The sequence below is a fragment of the Homo sapiens genome, chromosome 1 (assembly GCF_000001405.40).
Source record: "Homo sapiens chromosome 1, GRCh38.p14 Primary Assembly".
Lineage (NCBI taxonomy): Eukaryota > Metazoa > Chordata > Mammalia > Primates > Hominidae > Homo > Homo sapiens.
The window spans coordinates 228,988,578-229,011,256 of record NC_000001.11 but is presented as its reverse complement, the minus strand read 5'-3'; the positions used below and the strand labels follow the sequence as shown (position 1 = coordinate 229,011,256).

Sequence of the window (22,679 nt, the reverse complement as noted above, 5' to 3'; positions counted from 1 at the left end):
TAAATGTGAGGGCCTAGAACATGATACCACTGCTGACGTTATAAACACTACACTTAGACCACACTAAAATTACTCTGAAGTGTGATTGCTCTACAACTTTACGACAGCTACAATATTAGGCAATGGGCTTTTTTCATCTTACAGGACAATAGATATTATAATCTTACAGGACAACTGTCTCATCACACTTTATCATTGACCAAACCATTGTTATGTGGCACATGACTGTACATACCTATATATATATTTTTTCCTTTTGCAAATGTAGGAACTCTACCCAGCTAAATACCGCCAGATATAACATGCTTGCTCCAATTTGTGTGTTTTGCTGATATTTTTAATGAACGGAACAAATTCAATTCAGGCTGTGAAGGTTGCAACATTATGGTGATTACAACTGCAGAAAAATTGTTGGCAATTAAAAAACAGAAAAACTTAAACTCAACCTGAAAGATAAAACAAATTTGACTTTTAAAACTGTGTTTAAATATGCTGCAAAGATGAGCATTACGGTATCTAAGATTTTTTATTTTAATGACATTATTTAATATTCAAAATGTTTCAAAAGATATATTAAAAGAATATTTTTGCCAGAAATGGAGAAAGATTCTTTGATTTCTTCCAGATTTAATACTTACTAATTAATGATTTGAAACATTCACTTAGAGCTTTTTTTGATTCGTGATTTAATGTTGGAACAAAAATATTCTATTACTCTCTTGAGCGTTTCCATAGGGGATTAGGCCAAAACCAAACTCACTGCGTGTTTCTGTATGGTCCATCAGCTATGAGTAGTATTTACATTTTTAAATGGCTGAAAAGTGATAAAAAGACAAACAATATTTTGTGAAATGTGAAATTTATATGAAATTAAAATTTCTGTGTCTGTAAATAAAGTTTTATTGGAACATGGCACCGCTTATTTGTTTACATGTGGTCTGTGGCTGCTTTTGAGATAGAAAGGCAGAGTTAAGTAGTTGTAACAGAGACCATAAGACCCACAAAACCTAAAATATATAGTACTTGATCCTTTACAGAAAATTTTGCCAATGCTTAACCTAGATCAATTTGCTGAAAAAGCATCTCGAGGTTGCAAAATGAATTATTTAAAAAACATTAGTATGCACAGTTGCTTATCTGAGTGCCCCAAACCTTTCTCACAGTGCTGCAACTGAAACAATCCATAGAAATAAACTGGTTGGTAGGGCTGTTATTAGTATTTCAAATTCTTACTAAATAAATAACACTTCTTAATTTGCTAAATAAAATTTTGATTTAAAAAGTCGCGATATTTTTTCTTTTTTTTTTTTTTTGAGCTGGAGTCTTGCTCTGTCACCCAGGCTGGAGTGCAATGGCACGATCTCAGCTCACTGCAACCTCCGCCTCCTAGGTTCAAGCAATTCTCCTGCCTCAGCCTCCTGAGTATCTGGGATTACAGGCACGCGCCATCATGCCCAGCTAATTTTCGTATTTTTAGTAGAGACAGGGTTTCGTATTGCCCAGGCTGGTCTTGAACCCCTGACCTCAGGTGATCCACCCACCTCGGCCTTCCAAAGTGCTGGGATTACAAACATAAGCCACCGCTCTGCTCCCAGCCTCATTTCTTCTTTTTTCTTTTTCTTTTTCTTTTTTTTTTTTTTTTGAGACAGAGTCTTGCTGTGTCACCCAGGCTGGAGTGCAGTGGCACGATCTTGGTTCACTGCAAGCTCCACCTCCCAGGTTCACGCCATTCTCCTGCCTCAGCCTCCCGAGTAGCTGGGACTACAGGCACCTGCCACCACGCCTGGCTAATTTTTTGTATTTTTAGTAGAGATGGGGTTTCACCCTATTAGCCAGGATGGTCTTGAACTCCTGACCTTGTGATCCACCCACCTCGGCCTCCCAAAGTGCTGGGATTACAGGTGTGAGCCACCACACCTGGCCCAGTCTTATTTCTTAATTGAATTTTTAACTACTGTTGTAGATTTGAAGTAGCATAAATTTGTGCCAATGAAATGTCAACATGTGGTTTTATATTAGGGGCTTTGGCTCAAGATTTCATTAAAAATTGGAGCCCACTCCTGTAAAAATGTGAAATTCATCAGAACATACGAAGTAAATGTTAAAGAAAGTAGGGTCCCTGGGCACTTAAGTCCTATTTTTTTTTTTTTGAGTCATTCTCTGTCACTCAGGCTGGAGTGTTGTAGTGCGATAACAGCTCACTGCAGCCTCAGTCTCCCAGGCTCAAGCAATCCTCCCACCTCAGCCTCCTGAGTAGCTGGGACCACAGGTGCATGCCACTATGCCCTGCTAATTTATCTGTTTTTTTTTGTTTTTGTTTTTGTTTTGTTTGCTTGTTTGTTTGTTTTTTTAATAGAGATGGAATCTGGCTGTGTTGCCCAGGCTGGTCTCAAACTACTGTGCTCAAGCCATCTTCCCCCCTTGGCCTCCCAAATTGCTGGGATTAAAGGTGTGAGCCACTGAGCCCAGACTGAAGTCTATTCTTCAAGGTCCATTTCAAATGCCACCTTTTTTTTCAGGTGGGCACTGACCATGTCAGTTCTACATGTTCTCTTCTCTGGGTGTGCTGGTCTTGCTATTCTGTCCTAGGCACTTCTTAAAAACCTGTTTCTCTGTTCGAGTCTTATCTCTCTGTTGAGGTTTTCAGTTCCTGAGGACAGCTGAAATGTCTACTCCCAATGCTAAGCTCTTATTTCTCTCTTTTTTTTTTTTTTGAGACAAAATCTCGCTCTGTCGCCCAAGCTGGAGTGCAGTGGCGTAATCTCGGCTCACTGCAAGCTCCACTTCCCAAATTCAAGCCATTCTTCTGCCTTAGCCTCCTGAGTAGCTGGGACTACAGGTGTGCACCACAACACCTGGCTAATTTTTTGTATTTTTAGTAGAGATGGGGTTTCACCATGTTGGCCAGGCTGGTCTCGAGCTTGTGACCTCGTGATCCACCCGCCTTGGCCTCCCAAAGTGCTGGTATTACAGGCATGAGCCACCACGTCCAGCCTACTAAGCTCTTATTTCTTAACTGAGCTATGCCCTTTAAGAGATCTACAATTGATTTTTATGTTTATATCTTCCCCAACTTACGGGTTAAGCCAGGGAGAGACCCTAAGCAAATGTCAGTCTTAGGATATTACAAATGACTAGAAATTTACAGTTAAGAAGCACCTTTGCATGTATGATCTCAGCTGATTTTGGAAGAGCAGGTCATAATTCTGTAAGTGAGGTCAGTGGCTTGGCCAAGACTCGGGTACCTGGTGAATGCTCACTGCAGTCAGGGCCTGAATGTGCGGCTCCGGGTTTAGTGTTCACCACTGGCCTTTCAGCTCCAGCATTGACGCCTCAGGCAAGATAAGACCACTGGGGCTGAGGGTAGGAAAATGGGCCATGAGAGATGTCCCAACCTGACTGACGCATGCCTGTGGTCTGCGGAGACACACAGGCTGGGCGGCTGTGAAAGCGTCCAGGTATTAAAGGGACCGAGCCTTGACTGAGTGCTTCTCATGCATGTTCTCATTCATTCCTGAGACAACTCCATGAAATAGGTTCTAAATCCCCATCTCACAGATGTGGAAACAGAAGTTTGTGAGTTCAGTAATCTACCCAAGGTGACACCACCGGGGCGCTATGGAGTCCCGATTTGAGCCTATTGTCTGTTTGCGGGGTCTGTGTCCCTCCAGCTGCCTCCCACCAGTCTCCCTCTCATCCTGCCACATGTGCCTCTTATACACAGGGCCAACGGCCGCTTATCTGAAACCAAGCAAAGAGCCAGTGCCCTCCCAGAGGATCTGACATGGGTGACATTCCCCAGGACAAGGAAGTCCAGGCAGGTAAAGAAGAGATGGGGCAGCTTCCAGTCAAGACAGCAACATGAGGCGGGGACAGGGGCTGTGCCCTCTGGGCCCCAGTGCCGAGGAGACCCTAGGAAACCCAAGGAGCTATGTCCACATGGGGCTGCTTGTCTCCTGCTTTGGGGATGCTCAGTGCCACTGTCTTCTGCTCAGGGACTGTGGAAGATGGTTCAAAACCTGCCATATTTACTTGGAAGGCTGAAGCTGGAGGATCGCTTGAGACCGGGAGTTCGAGTCCAGCCTGGGCAACATAGTGAGACCCCATCTCTAAGAAAATAAACAAACAAATGAATAAATAGCCTGCCATGATTTTCCCATTCCTGGTTGCAAACTCTTGGTAGGCAACTGCTGCTCCTCTTTCTTTCCAAGCTCATCCTAACTTTTCCTCTGCTCATTCTAAAACAAGAGAGAACACTTTTCTGCTTCAATGGAAGTGGGTAAGTTTTGAAGAAATATGCTGGATCACACATATCCAACCCCATGGACCCTTCCCTTTGGCTAAAGGCAGAGTGAGTGGTTCCCTGGGAGAGCTGGGTGGATCTATGTGAGACGGACAGCCCTCTCCACTCAGGGGATTGCTCGATGGGACTGACCACAGCACCTTGCATGCCAGCCAGTACACACTGCCTGGCTCCCTTTGCTCACCAAATATTCATTATGCACCACCTATATACCAAGGCCTATAACAGGCTTTGTGGATACAAAGACAAATTACAAAATGCCTCTGCGTGAGTCATGGCTCCAGCAGGTTGCCAACGGAGGCATCAGCTCCATTGTGTCGCACAGAGCAGAACGCGTTTTCATCATCTGTGTTTCCTCGAGCCACACCACAAGGAGGCTAAACATAGGGTCACCTTGATCATAATGATAAGAATGTTTTTCTGGTCCTCCTCCCCTGGAAGGATCTCATGTGGATTGTGAAGGAATGTCATCCTTTTCTTGTGACCCAGAGCCAGCCTCCTATTCCACCCTCTCCAGCACAGACTAGTTCTAACTCATGCCCACACAGGAGGGGAGGTGGAGACCAGGAGGAGAACTCGCTTACCTGGCCGATGCCTCCACTGCTCGCCAGCCATAGGGCCAAAACCTGCCAGAGGGGCCTGTGAGCATCATCCACTTCCTTCTGCCTAGATGAGCTCTTTGACCCTAGAAGGCACTGAGCTCTCTCAGAGCCACCTGGCCACCCATGTGGATTGCTGACATGAAGCAATACAGTCAGCAAAGGGGATTTAAGACAGAAGCAGTGTAGGGTGAGTTTTCCAACGCCTGATCTGAGAGTCTTGCCTGTGATATTTGTTGTGTTTGGGAAGCACTGCGTTCTATAAGCTCCTCTGAAAATCACAGTGCATGCCAGTGTAACAAAGACTTGAAGAGCCCTGCGATAAAATCAAAACAAAATAAAACACACTCGGACACAAAATCCTGTTTGTCTAAATTAGCATTTTCCTCAAGTTTTTTTTTATTGGATCGAGGGTTTCTTTTTTCTCACTGAAAACTTCTTCATCTTACAGAACTAAGGCCTGTGGGAAAAACATATTGCAGACAACCCTGCCCTAGGGCATCAAGGCAGGAGGGTTGGGGGTGAGGGGGGCACCCTTTGCTCTTCCTCCAGCTTCTGCCTCCCAATGGCGGGACCCGGGACCAAGGACGTCCCACTCCCCGCTCCACTCTTGGCTGTGGTGGTGTGTGTCCCACATCGGAGGCAGCTGTAGTTGTTGATTGAAATGGGACACACATTTCCACACATTGTTAGCTGAGTTCGCTGGTAGGAGGACACACACTGGGGAAAGAATCTTGGCTTAGGAATTGGACAGACAAAGCCAGGTACTATTGCCTATTTAACAGCTGTGTGATCTTGGGTAAGTTAGAAGTCCCTGTAATTCTCGGTTTCCTTCTCTATGACATGAGAATAATGCATGCTTGACAGGCTTGTGTAAGGACAAAATGAAGTCATGTGTGCGAAAACCCTAGGGATGTGTCAGATACAGAGGAAGTGTGCAGTCATTGTTAGCCTCATGTACACACTCACACACACTCTCACACTCACACCATCACACCCTTCACACCACACATCCTCTCACACATCACACACACACACCAAACACACTGGCACACAGGCCGTACACACTCACACATGCACATCCTGCAGGTCCCTGAGGCGCAGGCACTATGCTTGGGCAGCATTCTGAAAGTACAGCAGGACCCATGGCCAGTGCAAAGGAGGGTTAGGGGGCACTTTACACTCCCTGGCAGAAGGTCTGAAGGGACTCTGAAGCCAAAACAGATGTAAGGAATTTGAGAAAACACTGGCAAGAAGGGCGTGGTGGCTCACACCTGCAATCCCAGCACTATGGGAGGCCAGCCTGGGCAACATGGCAAAACCCCGTCTCTAGAAAAGCATAAAAAATCAGCCAGGGTTGGTGGTGTGTTTTCACTCAGCTACTTGGGAGGCTGAGGCGGGAGGATTGTTTGAGCCCAGGAAGTTGAGGCTACAGTGAGCCGTGATCACACCACTGCACTCCAGCCTGAGCAACAGAGTGAGACCTTGTCTCAAAAAAGAAAGAAAGAAAGAAAAGACACTGGTGTTAGCTTTCAAGTCTTTAGAACTTGCTCCTACAGGGTCTTGATGCGATGGACAAAAGCAGCTGAATCGAGCAGTAACAGGTGTGTGAACGAATCCTCCTACGCGTACCCCTCACGTCTGTGTTCTGCCCACTTCTGCAGAGAATCTCTGCCCCAAGCCAGGCCAAGGGACCTCTTTACATGAGCAGCCAAGGGACAGAGACCTCTGGCTTCCCCAGGTGGGCCGGGGAAGCACAGAACAGCCAAGGGTGTCCCGATGTCTATTCACAGTGTATCTTCTTCCATCTTGAAAGTGCGTCACTTGTGGAAGGAACAAAACGCCATTACCCTCTATCTCATGGAGAAGCAGAGGTAAAAAGCAGAGAAGCGCTGTTTTACCCCAGCCTTCCTTATCTCTCTCAGCCATACTGGAAGCCCCCAAGGACGCATGATTATCTCAGGGTGACTGATGCTCTCTCTTTCCTTAATGCCACACACATAAGTCCACACTTTCAGCAGAAGAAAATACATAAGTGAGTGTAACAGAACAAGAGCCAGCTATGCATGCTTACATAATATTGTTTTGGGGCCTGTAAAACCCTGACTAGAAAAAATATTCCTTGTGCTCATGCCCGGGAGTCCACTCACAGCTCTGGTCTAGTCCCTTCAGTGTGGTGTTTTGATGCTGTTAGAAAGCAAAATGCCCCTGAGAAAGGGTACAGCTTGTGAAAAATCTGCAGGCATGAAGGCTGTGAGGGCTTTGTTAGAGGCGGGAAGAGCATCTGTTATTGGCCAACGAAGGTGGGTTCATTTCTGCATTAGCTCTGTGAGCCCAACCCTGAGCCAGACACCAAGATACTCGGTAAAGTAACCCCTTAGTAATGGTTTCTGGTTGGACCATCTCCAGAGCCCTAGGAAAGCCCATGAAAGGAGCTGCCATCTGACGTGGTGTTGGCCTGCAGCCCTTGCTCGAGGCTGAGGAGGACATCTGGGCCTTCCGCTGCCTGGGTGTTTGCCTGGTGAACAATGGCTGTAGCCAGAGTGTCTCCTCAGAGTCAGGCCCCGGGCTCTGTGACCTCAGGAGGTCAATAAATATTTGTTGACCGACAGACTCCACTGCTTGTCTTATTACAGACACACAGGGGGCCTGCCACTGCTGGCCAAACCCCAGTGTGGCCCCATCAGAAAACACAGGACAATAAACAGAGACGGATGGTCTGCCAGGAAAGACAGTGTCTTCCATTTGGTCATCCTCTTCCCAGCTGTGCCCTTCATTGAAGTTACAGGGCAGAGCGAGTGGCCTCACCAGGCCTCGGGGGCACCAGGACCTGAGGCACCTCCTTCCTCCCTCCCCTCCCCCTGTCCCGAGGTGTGATGGACAAAGGGAAACCCCGCCGGGGTGCCGGCTGATTAACCTCCCTTTCACACTGGCCTGGTGCGGGGCCTGGGCCGAAGTTCCACAGAGTTAGCAGATGTACTTCTAATTATTTATTAGGACTTCTCTCAGTGTGGCTCTTCTAATGAGACACTCTAAACTCCCAGAGGCTCGCCCGCAGGGGAATCATACAGCCACAGTTTGCAGGCAGGAAAGGCATGTCTCCATCACCACCCAGCTTTTGCCTGAATTTAGGTATGCTGTTATGTGTAAAGCGTAGAAAGTCACAGGTTTAAACACTAAGCCAGGAGACCTGGCGGCTGGAATGGCCTAAATGTTGACTTCATGGACTGAATTGTGTCCCCCCAAATTCATCTTGAATTCTTAATCCTCAGGACCTCAGAATGTGACTGTATTTGGAAACAGGATCTTGAAGAGGTAATTGAGTTAAAACAGGGATGGGCTAATCCAATCTGACTGGTGTCCTTATAAGAAGAGGAGACTGGACACAAACACAAACAGGGAAATTGTGTGAGGACACAGGGAGAAAATGACCAACTGCAAGCCAAGGAGAAGCTACCCTGGTAACACCTTGATCTTGGACTTCCAGCTTTGCAGAATCACAAGAAAATACATGTCTGTTGTGTAAGCCACCCAGTCTAAGCGGCTCTGATATGGCAGCCCTAGCAGACTAATGCAGTGGCCCTGGGGAATGTTGTCCTTTATACCCGGGGCTTCACAGCTTACCATGTGTGCCATGGCTAGTGGCTTGTGCAGTCTGCACCACAGGCCTGAAGGGCAGGTCAAGAAGTATTACAGGACTCCTGCCCCTTATCTAAAACTACTGGGAACAAATGTGTTTGGACTTCAGGATTCCTCAGATTTCAGAAAGATCAAGCATGCATATACCACAAATTATTGAACACTGAGTGAGTCTGACATAGCACCCATAATTAAACACACGAACACTTCTGAAATGAAACAGGATGCGTGTGTGTAGAGATAGATGTCTAGATATAGATATGTAATTGCACTGAGGGATTTATATAGTTTGGATATTTGTCCTCCCCAAGCCTCATGTGAAATTTGATCCCCAGTGTTGGAGGTGGGGCCTAGTGGGAGGTGTTTGGTCATGGGGGGCTGATCCCTCATGAATGGCTTGATGCCCTTCCCCAAGATAATGAGTGATTTTTATTCTATGAGTTCACGTGAGAGCTGAGAGCTGGTTGTTTGAAGGAGTCTGACACCTTCTCCCCGCCCTCTTGCTCCCTCTTTCTTGCCATGTGACATGCCTGCTCCCCCTTCACTTTCTGCCATGATTGGGAGCTTCCTGAGGTCCTCACCAAAAGCAGATGTCAGCGCCATGCTTCTTGTATAGCCTGTGGAACTGTGAGCCAAAGAAACCTCTTTTCTTTATAAATTACCCAGCCTCAGGTCAGCAGCACAAAACAGACTTAGACAGGGATACATATAGAATATATATAACCTCCTGTTTGTTCATATGAAATTTTGCCACCAAAACAGTTAGTACTAAGTGGATAAATACTTTTTTGGTTTGGGGAACTTTAGAAATATGCATAGGGTATTATGGACTTGTCTAATACCCCCACCCCCACCTCCTGACTTTCATAGATGAAGAAATCAAGACTCAGAGGGTAAGCAGTTCATTGGAGATCACTTGACTCATGGAAGAGCAGCTTGGCTCTTAACTTCTGTCTCCTAACTCCAAGATCCATTTCCTTCCACATGAGCCTAGAGGGCCTCCCTATAGGGTTTATTCACCACCAGCTGCTTGCAGATGCCTTCCTATGTACACATCACCCACATCCTTCCTCCACACCTTGCTACCTCCCGGCTCCACCTTGAACACCTGGCAGCTGTCAACAGACATTATCTTCTAGGCTCACTTCTCTGACCTCTCTGACTCTCACAGTTTTGGAACTAGAAATGATTTTAAAGATTATTCTAGCATGGTAGCCTGCTGATGTTTTTAAAGAATCAAGCCCTTTATTTTTCCAGTGTAATCATACATCTCGGATTATCAAACAAATACAGCAGAGCTTCAAAGTGAGCTGTACAAGGTAAGCCTGGCGTCCTTTCTTAGCCCAACCAGCCAGAGAGATCTGAGGTACTGTTACTGCAGCAAATCCGTATCTGTGCAGTCTGCAGCAACCTCGATTCTTGCCTCCTCAGAAGAAAGAATTCAACTGAGGGGCATAAGTCATAAGGTGTAAGGGAAAACTGAGGCAAGGTGTTTTGTTTGTTTGTTTGTTTTGAGACGGAGTCTCACTCTGTCATCAAGGCTGGAGTGTAGTGGCATGATCTCAGCTCGCTGCAACCTCCGCTTCCTGGGTTCAAGCGATTCTCCTGCCTCAGCCTCCTGAGTAGCTGGGACTGCAGGTGCATGCCACCGCGCCCAGCTAAATTTTTATTTTCAGTAGAGATGGGGTTTCACCATATTGGTGGCCAGGCTGGTCTCGAACTCCTGACCTCAGGTGATCCACCTGCCTCGGCCACCCAAAGTGCTGGGATTACAGGGGTGAGCCAATGCACCCGCCCATGAGGCAAGGTTTTAGAGCAGGAGTGAAAGTTTATTAAAAAGCTTTAGGGCAGGAATGAAAGGAAGTAAGTACACTTGGAAGAGGGCCAAGCAGGCGACTTGAGAGGTCCAGTGCAGGGTTTGGCCTTTGATTTGGGGTTTTATACGTTGGCATGTTTCTGGGGTCGTGTGGTACATCTCCCCTGATTCTTCCCTTGGGGTTGGCTGTCTGCATGTGCAGTGGCCTGCCAGCACCTGGGAGGGGTCTTGTGTGCAGTGCGTTTACTGGAGTCATGCACATGCCCACTTGAGGCGTCTGTCCCTTACCAGTCCAGCGTTCCTAGAAGAAGGTCATATACCAGTTAAACGCCGCCATTTGCCTTTTAGTGCGCGTGTTGGGTCCACTCACCCAACTCCTGAGATCTTATCTGGAAGCTGCTGATCACCAGTTTCAGGTATTTTCTATCTATTGGGAGACTGCCCTTGCCTGGCGCTGGCTGCGACCAATTACTATTTTAGAGCGATCGTTAACAGCCAGCTGCCTGTCACCTGATGGTCACCTGACATTTCTGGTGGGTGTGTCAGGGCTGGCTGGGGAGCCCCCTCCTGTCCTGCTCATGCCTGACTAGCTACCTACTATAACAGAACCTTCACAGAACTCTGGGGATCCCCAAAATACAGTCTGGTAAACTCTGGTGCAGTGTGACCCTCTCATACCATGGAAGAGAAAAAAACAAGATCTGCCAGGTCACAAAAGTAGATGATTTTTACAAGATGCCCATAAGTTATGACTAATCTCATTGCATAGAGTCAGAAACTGAGGCCCCGAAAAGAACAGCAAAAACGAAAACAAAAACAAGAACAATAACAACAACCCAAGGGCAAGCAGACTGCTGTTTCCATCCTAGCCCGTGGGCCGGCAGCAATGCTGCAATTAGCATGCCTTACAGATACATGTTCCAGGCATTTCATGTTGCTCTCCCATATGGTAAACAGAAAAGCGAGATGTACTGTCTGAAAAGCTGCCCAGTTGTATCCTGGGCTGACCAGGTTTATGCTCGGGAATTCTTAGCAGCAATAGTTTGTAATATGAAGCACAAATTCCAATGCCCATCCTTATGCCCCAAGTGTTCGTAATAATGCAGTGACCCCTGAGTTAACCAAATGTAAAGAAATCCCAAAATATGTTACATAAGAGAGATTTTTGTTTCTCTGCTCTAGAATCTGCCAAATGGAGTGTTTTCAAACTTTTCATCTCAAAAAAATTCCCCCTAGACTAAAATCCAAAATCCAAGAGTTCAATCCAAAAAGGATAAATCTGTTAAAGGTCATGATCCTGGTAACTACTAGATTGTAGTGAAAATTGATGTTTTCATGACAGAAAAAAAATTAGGTAGTAGTATTTTGGAGGAGTTTTGCCAAAAAACTTTGGATATCTCTTTCAGTTTTCTTAAAGCGATGCTTGTCTTTTCCTCCGCCTTCTTGATTCCATTGTGAAAGTCACCTCTACATGTTTGGGGACGGTTCCAGGGACTTCAAAGTTTGCTCAGCTACTGTCTGAAAGTGAGATAATGACTATAAATTGTCCTTTGATATTCATCACCCTCTTGCTCTTGATAACAGAAGCCCCTGAGCACAGGGCTCACAGCTACGCACAGGGATATGACGTTCTTCAGCCTCCCTTGAACAAGATATGGCCCTTAGGTGAAGGTTGCACAAAAAGGATGCAAGCAGAAGTGATGTGGTCTACTTCTGAGTTATGTTCTTAACAGGACCACGCTTGCCCCTCACTCACCCCTGCTTCATGTGATTGAGGATGGTTCCCCAGGGCTCGTGAAAGGGAACCGGGCCTCTGGATGATGACCTGCTGCAGCGTTACCCACACTCTGGGCCACATGTTTTGGGGTCCCTTTGTTACAGCGTCTTCCCTCTATCTACTAACAAGCCTGGGACATGATGTGTGGGTGTGACAGCTGCAAGCAGCAAGCATAGCAGGAAGCCTGCCGTCTCCCACTCCCCTGCATGCATTTACTCCCCTTCTTGACCCATTTTCTGCTTGTCCTATCACAGCCCTATCTGAGGAGAGGAGCTCTGTCCTCATTGTAAAGATGTCACGGATAAATCTTGAGAGGAATGACTCTGAAGAATGCACTGGGCTGGCTGGGTGCGGTGGCTCATGCCTGTAATCCCAGCACTTTGGGAGGCCGAGGTGGTTGGATCACGAGGTCAAGAGACTGAGACCATCCTGGCCAACAGGGTGAAACCCCGTCTCTACTAAAAATACAAAAATTAGCTGGGCATGGTGGCGTGCGCCTGTAATCCCAGCTACTTGGGAGGCTGAGGCAGGAGAATCGCTTGAACCCAGGAGGCAGAGTTTGCAGTGAGCTGAGATCACACCACTGCACTACAGCCTGGGCAACAGAGGGAGACTCCATCTCAGGAAAAAAAAAATGCACTGGGCTAGAATTAAGAGCAGGAAGTTCTGGTCTTGAGCCTTGGCCAGAATGTGATGTCAGCTTCGGTGACAGCACTTGTGAGCTCTTGGGGAAAAAAAGTAGCCATTGTGACCAAGGACCCGAGAAGGCCACAGGTTACTGAAGAACTTGCGCTTGATGCTGCCCTTCCTCATAAGGGTAATCTCAGCCAATGAACGCAGGTCGGCCCAGCACATGGGGAGCGGGGACTCTGGGCCAGCAGCCCTCACATCTGGTTCACATAATGATACCTCACACAATCACCACTGTCATCCTCTTCTCCACAGGCTTTTCTCCCTGGAGCACTGAGCAGATGTGAACTTTCTATACTGTGGTGGTGGGCAGGGTAGGGGACTCTGATATTTTCAATCATTTACTCATTCATTCATCAACAAATATTTATTGAAGGCCTGCTGTGTGCTGGGTGCTACGCTTGACAGGAGGGTCAAGGCCCCTGCTCTCATGGAACTCACATTTTAGTGGTGGGAAACAGAGAACAAGTAAGTAAACATTGAACAATATTATTTTAGAAAGTGATTAAGAATCAGTTGAGGGCTACTTTGGGAAGAGTGGTCAAGGACACTCTCTTCAAAGGGCTGATGTACACCCTGAGACCAGCACCAGGAGATGAAACCAGCCATGAATAGTGAGTGCAAATGTCCTGGGGCTGTCAAGCTCTTGCTAAGTTCCAGAAACCTAGAGAAGGCAGTGCCGCTGGAGTTCGGGACGTTCAGGGTGGAGGGCGGAACAGTAGGCAGGGGCCAGATGGTACAGGGCCCTGCGGACTCTGACATGGACTTTCAATTTTATTTTAAGCACAATCTGAAGCCATTGAAGGATTTTTAAACAGGAGAAGGATGTGGCATGATTTGCTTATTAAAAAGATAGCCCAGCTGCTATGCAAAGAATGACTTTTAAAAGTGCAAAAATAGAAATACGAAGACCAGTTAGGAGGGTATTGCAGTAATCCTGGCGAGAGGTAATAACTATTATTATCCCCATTTCATGGAGGCCTAGAGAAGACGGAATTTATGCAAATGCATACTACAGATAATAATAATGCTTTACTTTTATTTGCATAGTGATTTTAATTTGAAAAGCCTTTTTACCTATAGCACTTCATTCAAACTTCAGAGCAACCCCGGGATAAACTGTGATCCCATTTCCTAGACTTGAAGTGAGCCTCTGAGAAGTGGATGCCTGACAAGATCACAGAAGTGGTCAGGGCCAGAAGCCTGGTTTAACTCCTGGTCTCCCGACTCCTAACTTCCAGTTCTTTCCATTCCCCTTTCCCTACCCCATGCCACTTCCCCAGATTAAAAGCAATGGGCATAGAAGCCAAACCAAGTAATCAAGCATCCAAAGTCACACAGGACATCCGCCCTGAGGGGCTCCAGGAGTAATCGAGCTACCCACCGAGTCCCTGTGAGATGCCAAGCTCTACTTCAGTTGCTGCCAGAGGGTTAGAGAACAAAGGAAACAAGACATTCCTTGGCCCCCAGACACTTAAAGTCTAGTTGGGAAAATCAAGAGGACTTCTATAGATTATTTACAAATGCTCTGCAAATTAAAAGCCATATCCAATTACAAAAAACTTTGGGAAGAACCCAGATTCTTTCCCTGTGTCCAATGGGCCTGAAGTCTATTAACAAAGGTAATTCCTTTAAGTGGGACTTCATGTTCCTCAAGGGCAGTTGCTGGCCTGTTAACAAGGTCAGCAGCATCAGCCGGGTAATATTGGGCTGGAGAAGTCCTTTTCCAAGTGCCCTCTCTTATCTAATGTGGCACAGCAAAACACTCTCAAACTTAGTAATCCAATAACCATTTTTATGATCCTCATGAATTTTGTGGCTCATGAATTTGGACAAGGCTGAGCTGAGCTGGCTTGTTTCTGATCCACCGTGTTTGGGCCTCAGCTGAGAACACGCTAATGGCCAGGAGTTGGAATCCCCTGACACCCCATATGGCTGGCGCTTGGACTGATACTCACAAGGCTGAGCTGAGCTTGGCTTGCTAACCAGCCCATTGCCTTGTGCTTTCTCCACGGGCTGGGGCTCCCCACTGGATCATGGCCTCATGGAAGTCATACTTTTGCCTTGCAGCCTGGAGCTCCAAGAGTGAAGGTTCCAGAAAACGAGGTGGAAGCCACATGACTTTGACTTACTCTCGAAGTCCCACAGTGTCCCCTCCACCACGGTCAGTTAGGCAAATTATTGCAAGGTCACCCACACTCAAAGAGGGGGCCATAGATCCTGCCTTTCAATAAGAAGAACATCAAAATTTTACAGCCACAGTTAAGAACCACCACTGTCCCCTTTACCTAAATGGTGTGTTCCTGTGAGTAAATATAAATTAATACTGAATAAGGTGTTCATAGTAGCATTGCCAGTGTGCAGAATGAAGGAATGACTACAGTTAAGATTGCCTAGTCAGGAGGGTGTTAATACAGATGTTTTTCTGAAAGGTTCATTTTAGTTAGATTTTAAAGGATGCAAGAAAAATATTGATTTCAAATGAATGCTAATTATAAATGAATCTACTCATTAAAGCAGCACAGCAGGGCTTACACTTGGAAATACTTAGAGAGAATTAATAGAGTTATTATGTGCTTGAGATAAAAATAAAAAGAGAATGCTAGGTTGCTGAAAGAGAAAAAAGCAAAGAGCCAGTCTGAGAAACACCACGGAAAATGTGTGTTTTTTTTCGTGTTGATTCTCCTGGTAGGCTCCTGGGCTATTCTCTAGTCAGCTCTCTGGCAGCAAAGCATAGTATGATTTCAGAGTATCTCACAAAGAAGAATAGGTTTTCTTCTCCCATGGTAAGCTAGAATGCATGTGTGCACCTGGTAAAACAAAAACCTGGGTTAGTTTGAACCTCTTCCATTGCTTTTTAAAACATCTTTAATAAGATGTAATTCACAAATCATAAAACCTACCCATTTAAAGTGTATTATTCAGTGGTTGTTGGTGTATTCACAGAGTTGTGCAACCACTAGCACAGTGTAATTTTAGGTTGTTGTCGTCACCCCAAAAAGAAACCCCACCCCATGAATAGTCATTCCCATTCCTAACCTCCTCCCCAGCTCTAGGGAACCTCTAATATACATCTGTCTCTTTAGGTTTGCCAATTCTGGACTTTTCACATAAATGGACATAAAGTGCTTCTTTATGTCTGGCTCTTTCACTCAGCATAATGTTTTTAAGGCTCATCCATATTAGCACTTCATTTCTTTTCAAGAAACAGAAATGTTCCATTTATGGTTATATTACATTTTGTTTATCCATTTATCAGTTCATGGACATTTGAGTTGTTTTCACTTTTTGGCTACTATGAATTATATTGCTATGAATGTTCATGTACAAGTTTTGTGTGGACATACATTTTCATTTCTTTTGCATATGTACCTGGGAGTGGAACGCTGGGTCATGTCTATGTTTAACATTTAGAGGATCTGCCAAAGTGTTTTCCAAAGGGGCTGTACCATTTTACATTCTCATTAGTAATGTATGAGAGTTCCAACTTTTCCACTTCCTTGCCAATACTTGTTATTTTCTGTCTTTTTGATTATAGCTACCCTATTGGGCATGAAGTTGCATCTCATTGTGGTTTTGATTTGCACTTCCCTGATGATTAATGATGATGAGCATTTTTTTCAAGTTCTTATTTGTCATTCATATGTCTTCTTTGGAGACATGTTTACTCAAATCCTTTGCCCATTTTTAATTGGATTACTTGTCTTTTTATTATTGAGTTGTAAGAATTCTTTTATATACTCTGGATATAAATCCCTTGCTATACGTGAATTTGCTAATAGTTCCCTCTATTCTGTGGGTTATTTTTTTCCTCTTTCTTGATAGTATTGTTTGCAGCACAAAAATTTTAACTTTGACAGAGTTCAATTTATCTATTTTTTTCTTTTGTTGTTTGTGCTTTTGGTGCTATATGTAACAAACCATTGCCTAAATCAAGATCGTACAGATTCTGTTTTTTTTCCAAAGGGTTTCATGACGTTAGCTCTTACCTTTATGTCTGTGACTATTCTGAGTTAATTTCTGTGTATGGCGTGAGGTAGAGGGTCCAACTTTACTTTTTTATTTGTGGACATCACTGTTTATTTGTGTCCACCACTGTTTGTTCAAGAGTCTATTTTTCCCCCATTCAGTTGTCTTGGCACCCTTCTGAAAAATCAATTGACCATAAATAAAGGGTTTATTTCTGGACACTCGATTACATTTCATTGATCTATGTTTTCCTTATGTCAGTACCATATGGTCTGATTACTATAGCTTTATAATAAGTTTGAAAATCAGGAAGTGTGAAAACTTCAAGTTTGTTCTTTTCCTAGATTGTTTTGGCTATTCTGGGTCCCTAGCATTTTCACATGAATTTTAGGATCAGCTTGTTAATAATTTCTGAAAAAGAGCTGGTTAGAATTTTGGTAAAGATTGTGTTAGATCTATAGATCAGTTTGGAGAGAATTGTCATCTCAATAATATTGTCTTCCTATCCATGGCCTTGGGAAATCTTTCTATTTATTTAGTTAGGCCTTTCATTTATTTCAACAATGTTTTGTAGTCATCAGTGTATAAGTCTTGTATTTTTTGGTTAAGTTTATTCTAAGAAATGTGTCCCTTTTGATACTACTATAAATGAAATTGTTTTTAATTTCATTTTTTTAAATTGATAAGTAGTAATTACATATATTTATGGAGTATGATGTAAAGTTTTGATATATTTGGACATTGCGGAATGATTAAATCAAGCTAATTAACATACCTAACATCTCACATACTTACCATTTTTTTGTGATGAGAACATTTACAATTTACTTTCTTAGCAATTTGAAATATACATTATTATTAACTATAGTCACCGTGCTGTGCAATATATCTAAAAACTTATTTCTCCTATTTAAGTGAAACTTTCTACCTTTTAACCAATGTCTCCCCCAGGAAGCCAGCTTCTGGTAACCATCATTCTACTCTCTATTTCTATAAGTTCGACTTTTTGTTTTTAGATTCCACATATAAGTGAGAATATGCAGTATTTATCCTTCTGCGCCTAGCTTATTTCACTTAACATAATGTCCTCCACATTCATCCATGTGGCCACAAATGAAAGAATTTCCTTCTTTTTAAAGGATGAATAATGCTCCATTGTGTTTGTATGCTGCGTTTTCTTTGTCCATTCATTTGTTGATGAACACTTAGGTTGATTTCATATCTTGGCTATTGTGAGTAATGCTGCAGTGAATATGGGGGTGCACATAACTCTTTGATATGCTGATTTCAATTCCTTTGGGCGTATACCCAGAAGTGGGATTGCTGGATCATATGGTAGTTCTATTTTTAGTTTTTTGAGAAATCTCCATACGGTCTTCCATAATGTCTGTACTAATTTACATTCCCAACAACAGTGTGCGAGGGATCCCTTTTTTCCACATTCTCACCAACAGTTTATCTTTCGTCTTTTTATAATGGCCATCACAGTATATTGTGCCACTGCTGACGTTTCTGTTCAGTTACCTTATTGGTCAGCTAATGATTTGCCAGAAATTTCTTTAAATGCTTTGAGCCAGTAGATCTTCCACCCTTTGCCAAGGGGCCCCGGGTGTGCTGGGGCATCTCTTCAATGCTCAGTTTACAACCCTGCTTTAACCTTTACTTCTTGTTTGTGCAGAGCCTTATGGTTAGCCAGAGATTGGGTGAGCTGAGAGACTGGGACCTTCTTGGGTCTTTTCTGGGCTTGTGCACAACCCTGCACACATGCATAGATAGCCTTTTAGATCCCTGGGAATATGTCAGAGCTTTTCAAAGCCCCACAGGGAAACATCATTCCCCAGCTATTCCTGTTACATTTTTGGCCAGACTCTTGATTGTCCCACCTGACAGTGCAGCCTCAGGCAGCTGCAGTGATACACAATTGCTGCTGATGGTTTTTGACCAATCCCCTGGGTATAGAGTTTTTCTTCAGAGTGAACTCTGTTAGGCCAAATTTCAACAATGCCTGGTAAATGGGACTTCTCCAGAAGTCGGAAGGACAGCTAAATAATGACAATGCTTTGCAGATGGGACATTTTGAGGAGCTTCAAACCCAGTCTATTTCCTCTGGTGGCTGCAAAGTTGCTGGTTTTTACCATTCCTGTGGTTGTGAGGCTGCTAGTTATCATGGCTAACAGGGGCTGGGTAGAATGGGATGGGAATAGGCCAAGTTCAAGTGTCACAAACCTTTCTGCTCTTACCAAGGTTCAACAGTTTTTCCTGAATAAACGCCCTCAGATTGTTGCCAGCCTTTGGTTAATTTCCAGAGTTCTGAAACAGTTTATTTTGACCATTTCCTAGTGTTTCTGTTATTTTAATGGGAGAGTAGGCTTATGGAGGGCCTCACTCTGCCATTCTGTAACTCCTGCACCTCTTCCATTCTTAAACAGGACCATTCCTATTTGGTTGCATTGGAAAACTATATCAAAACAACATTTTCTCTCCAAAGTCATTTTGGCAAAACCTCTGACCAACCAGAGATATGGGTGAAGAATATTCCATGGTCAAATAAATTCAGAAACTATCCTTTGCTCTACCTTATTCTTGGAGAGTCCCAGTGCATGTTAGCATTCGAGAGTGGGAGAGGTCCTGCTGTAAAGAATCCATTTAGTTCTGCTTACCAAAGGTTTCCTAAACATATTTGCCTGTATAACTGTCTTGTTTTACTTTGTTTCATTTGCTTAACACGTCTTAATTAGTGCTTCTCAGAGTCTGCTAAACTAACCTTAAAGGTGAACTCCGGGCCAAGTGTTTGGCCCACTTTTCAGAACTAACACCTCAGGAGTCGGGTATCTGATGAGAATTGTCAGGGTCCCCATGAAATACAGCTGTAGTACTTTTGCCTTTATTTCTATTTTCTTTATACTTCATCTGATGTCTAAAGAGGTGACTATGTTTTTTTCAGGTTTGGAGATGTGAGTCCAGCTAATTTACTTGTTTCAGCTCCATTGTGAATATGCTGTGTGATCTAAGAAAGTTGCTTTATCTATTGTGGTTTTCTTTCCTTTCGCCAAAGAAAGGATCTGCGAACTCATCTCCTGGAATAAGGAAGTGCAAAAAACTTTGCGGTGCAACGTATGGGTTTCATCTTCTTCAGGCCCCTCAATCAATAATGGATTCTAAGAAACCACGCAGACTTGGAACGCCACAGAATCAGTGATCCCAGTCATATGCATGCACATGCATACATGCACACACACGCGTGTATACAACACCCAGTGGGTGTGGTGAGCCCAGCAGGGCTGGGGTGGCAGGAGTCCCCAGCAGGTTGCCTCCATCTGAGAGCAGCCTTGTCCCTTTGCGACAGGGGTGGTGCAGAGATAATTCTTTCCTCTGACGGCCTTGACCTGAGTAAGCCTGGGCAGCCCTGGCCTGGGAGGCTTGCGAGCATCCCCACCGTCACTGGTGAAGGGCTCTGGGATAGAGAGTCAGGAAATTGGTTCTTGTTCTGCCTTTGTCACTCTTCTGGAAAAGTCACCTCACTTTCCTGGGTCTTCGTCATAGACCCAGGAAATGAAGACATTGAACGTTATGACTGCCACAGTCCTTGCCAGCTCCGGAGTTCCTTGAATTTTATGATACAGGATGTCTTCCTAGTGCAAGAGGTCCCAGTGTCATGCATGGCCGTGGTCCCATCAAGGGCCTCCTAACTTCCCCCAGCTCTTGTCAGGCCTGCACAGGGCAGGCTTCCAGAAAACAGCCTCCTTTCTGGCTTCTGTCAGCACAGCAGTTGTGAACTTCCTGCCATGTGGCTCATAGCTTCAATGTCTGGGCCAAATGTGGAGAAAGGGCAAGCAGAGAAGGCCTGCAAGGAGGAAGCTGAGGGACTGGCACTGGCTCCCACTTCCTTCTTATCTGTGGGTGAGGCACAGAAAGCCCCCGGCCCTCCCCTGCCAGGGTGCGGTGTGTGGGCCCCTGATCGGCAAGGCCTCCACATCACTACCACCTTACCACCTTGGCCTCCACGTGTTTCAGAGCCGGCTCCCTTCCCATGGCCTTTCCACTCCACCCCACCCCACCCCCAGCTCTGACATCAAAGCAGTGGGCTCTGGAGCTCTGAGGATGTCCCAGGCTGTTCACACAGAGGCCATTCCACATTTTACAGCTCTAATTGGTTTTGTAACTGCAGTGAGTTGATGAGAAACACACCCGCTCACACGTAGAAGACAGGGAGCACTACAAACTTTGCTTATTTTGCAAATGCAATGAAGCAAGACAGCAGTGTCACTGCCAACATCTGACTGATCAAGAGTGTCCATGGCATTTTTCCAGAGAGACAGCTGGGCCTGCGATGGCCTTGCAGGGCCCCAGATGCTCTGTGGGGTGCTCCAGTGTCCCTCCCTCACTTGTTTACCCGTGAATGCGCCACATCCTGCCTGGGGCTGGTCAGGTGAGGCTGGAGGACTTCATGGCGGCAGGCTCAGCCTGATAATCCCAGGCCAGCGGGTGGTGCTAGGGTCAGGCTGCACATGGACAGGAGGATGAGAGGGCATGGGCAGTCACCGCAGATGGGGCCAGCTTGGGCCTGGCACACTGCAGGTGTTCAGTTGAGACTGGTTAAAAAGTCCTCTTGCTAGAGCTCCTGACTCTTCTTGGTGCTAACAGGCACCTCCGGCTTGTCCTGTCCATAACCCACGCTTGTTTTCTGCGCCAGCCCACCCTAACCTCCTCCATCTTTCCATTTCAGTGAATGGCACCACCCCCTACCAGAGCTGAGAGAAAAGCCTACCAGCTCCCCATCTCTGGGGACATCAGAACAGTGGCGTCCATGCTATCAGCACCTCCTCCTGCAGCCGCCAAAGAGTCTCCTCATTTTCCCTTTCGTCCCTGCAGTCTGTTCTCCAAAAACAGCAGGAGCAAGCTTTCACAAATGGGAGTCAGGTTATGCAGCTTTCCTGCCTAAAATCCTCGGCTGGCTTCCCATGGCTCTTGAATAAAATCTCAGCTCCTCGCCACAGTCTAAAGGCCCTGACTTCCTACCTAACTTCTTTCATTTTTGCCGTGAGTCCGTTTGATCCAGCCTGTGGGACTGCTGTCTGTCCTCAAGGGCATGAACACGGTGCTGCTGAAGGACTTTTGCATGTACTCTTTGTCTGCCTAGAATGCTCTGCCCTCCGTGTTTTCAAGACCCGCCTGTCCTCCTCCCTTCCTCGGAGGAGTCCCTTACCACCCAATGGGAGGGCATCACTCCATCTCATCCGTGCTGCCAAATACTTCCCATTCTACTATTTGCAACCATTACCATCCAACATTTAGATAACCATTTTTATAGTTTTTGTTGTTGATTTGTTTATAATTAACCTCCCCTACAAGAATGAAAGCTTCTAGGTTGTCTTGTTGGCCACAGTGCCTAGAACAATGCCTGGCACCCATCAGTGCTTAACACGTGTTGACTGAATGGAGCTGGGCCTGTTCCACTTTCATAAGTCACCCCAGTAGGAATTCCAACCATGTGGAGAGTAATGACTCCATCCCAGGGTTCACAGAGACCATGGCGGGTTGAAGTGGGTCACTTCGGACTTCAGCAGAAACTCGACAGCTCCCTGTGAGCATGCCTGTGGCCACACTGGTGAGGCTCCACCCTCACTATGGACCAGCAGCACATGAGGGGCCAGCCGAGGTCACCAGGCCCTCCCTCCTCTCCTGCCAGCTGAGCCTCCCTGCATGTGGGTGGGACCATGAGGGATGTTTGCGAGTAGAGAAAAGGAAGAGGCAAGATGAAGACTAGCTCAGAAATGTGACTGTTTTCTTTTTGTTTACCTCTATTTTCTGATAATTATATAGTGATCATGTATGTCTTTCATAATTAAAAAATCATTGTAAAAAATTATTCTAGTAGATTAATAG

At 45.4% G+C, this 22,679-nt stretch overlaps 2 annotated features.

The window, feature by feature from the left end:
* Window positions 13,281-13,575: a silencer, noted in NCBI's record as "tiled region #10577; K562 Repressive non-DNase unmatched - State 21:Repr". NCBI's record gives its function as "represses a minimal TATA promoter and a strong SV40 promoter by Sharpr-MPRA in K562 cells {active_cell/tissue: K562}" and the evidence as "EXISTENCE:reporter gene assay evidence [ECO:0000049][PMID:27701403]".
* Window positions 20,948-21,698: an enhancer, noted in NCBI's record as "H3K27ac-H3K4me1 hESC enhancer chr1:229125306-229126056 (GRCh37/hg19 assembly coordinates)". NCBI's record gives its function as "activates a minimal SCP1, AML or CMV promoter by ChIP-STARR-seq in primed H9 embryonic stem cells {active_cell/tissue: H9 hESC(primed)}" and the evidence as "EXISTENCE:reporter gene assay evidence [ECO:0000049][PMID:30033119]".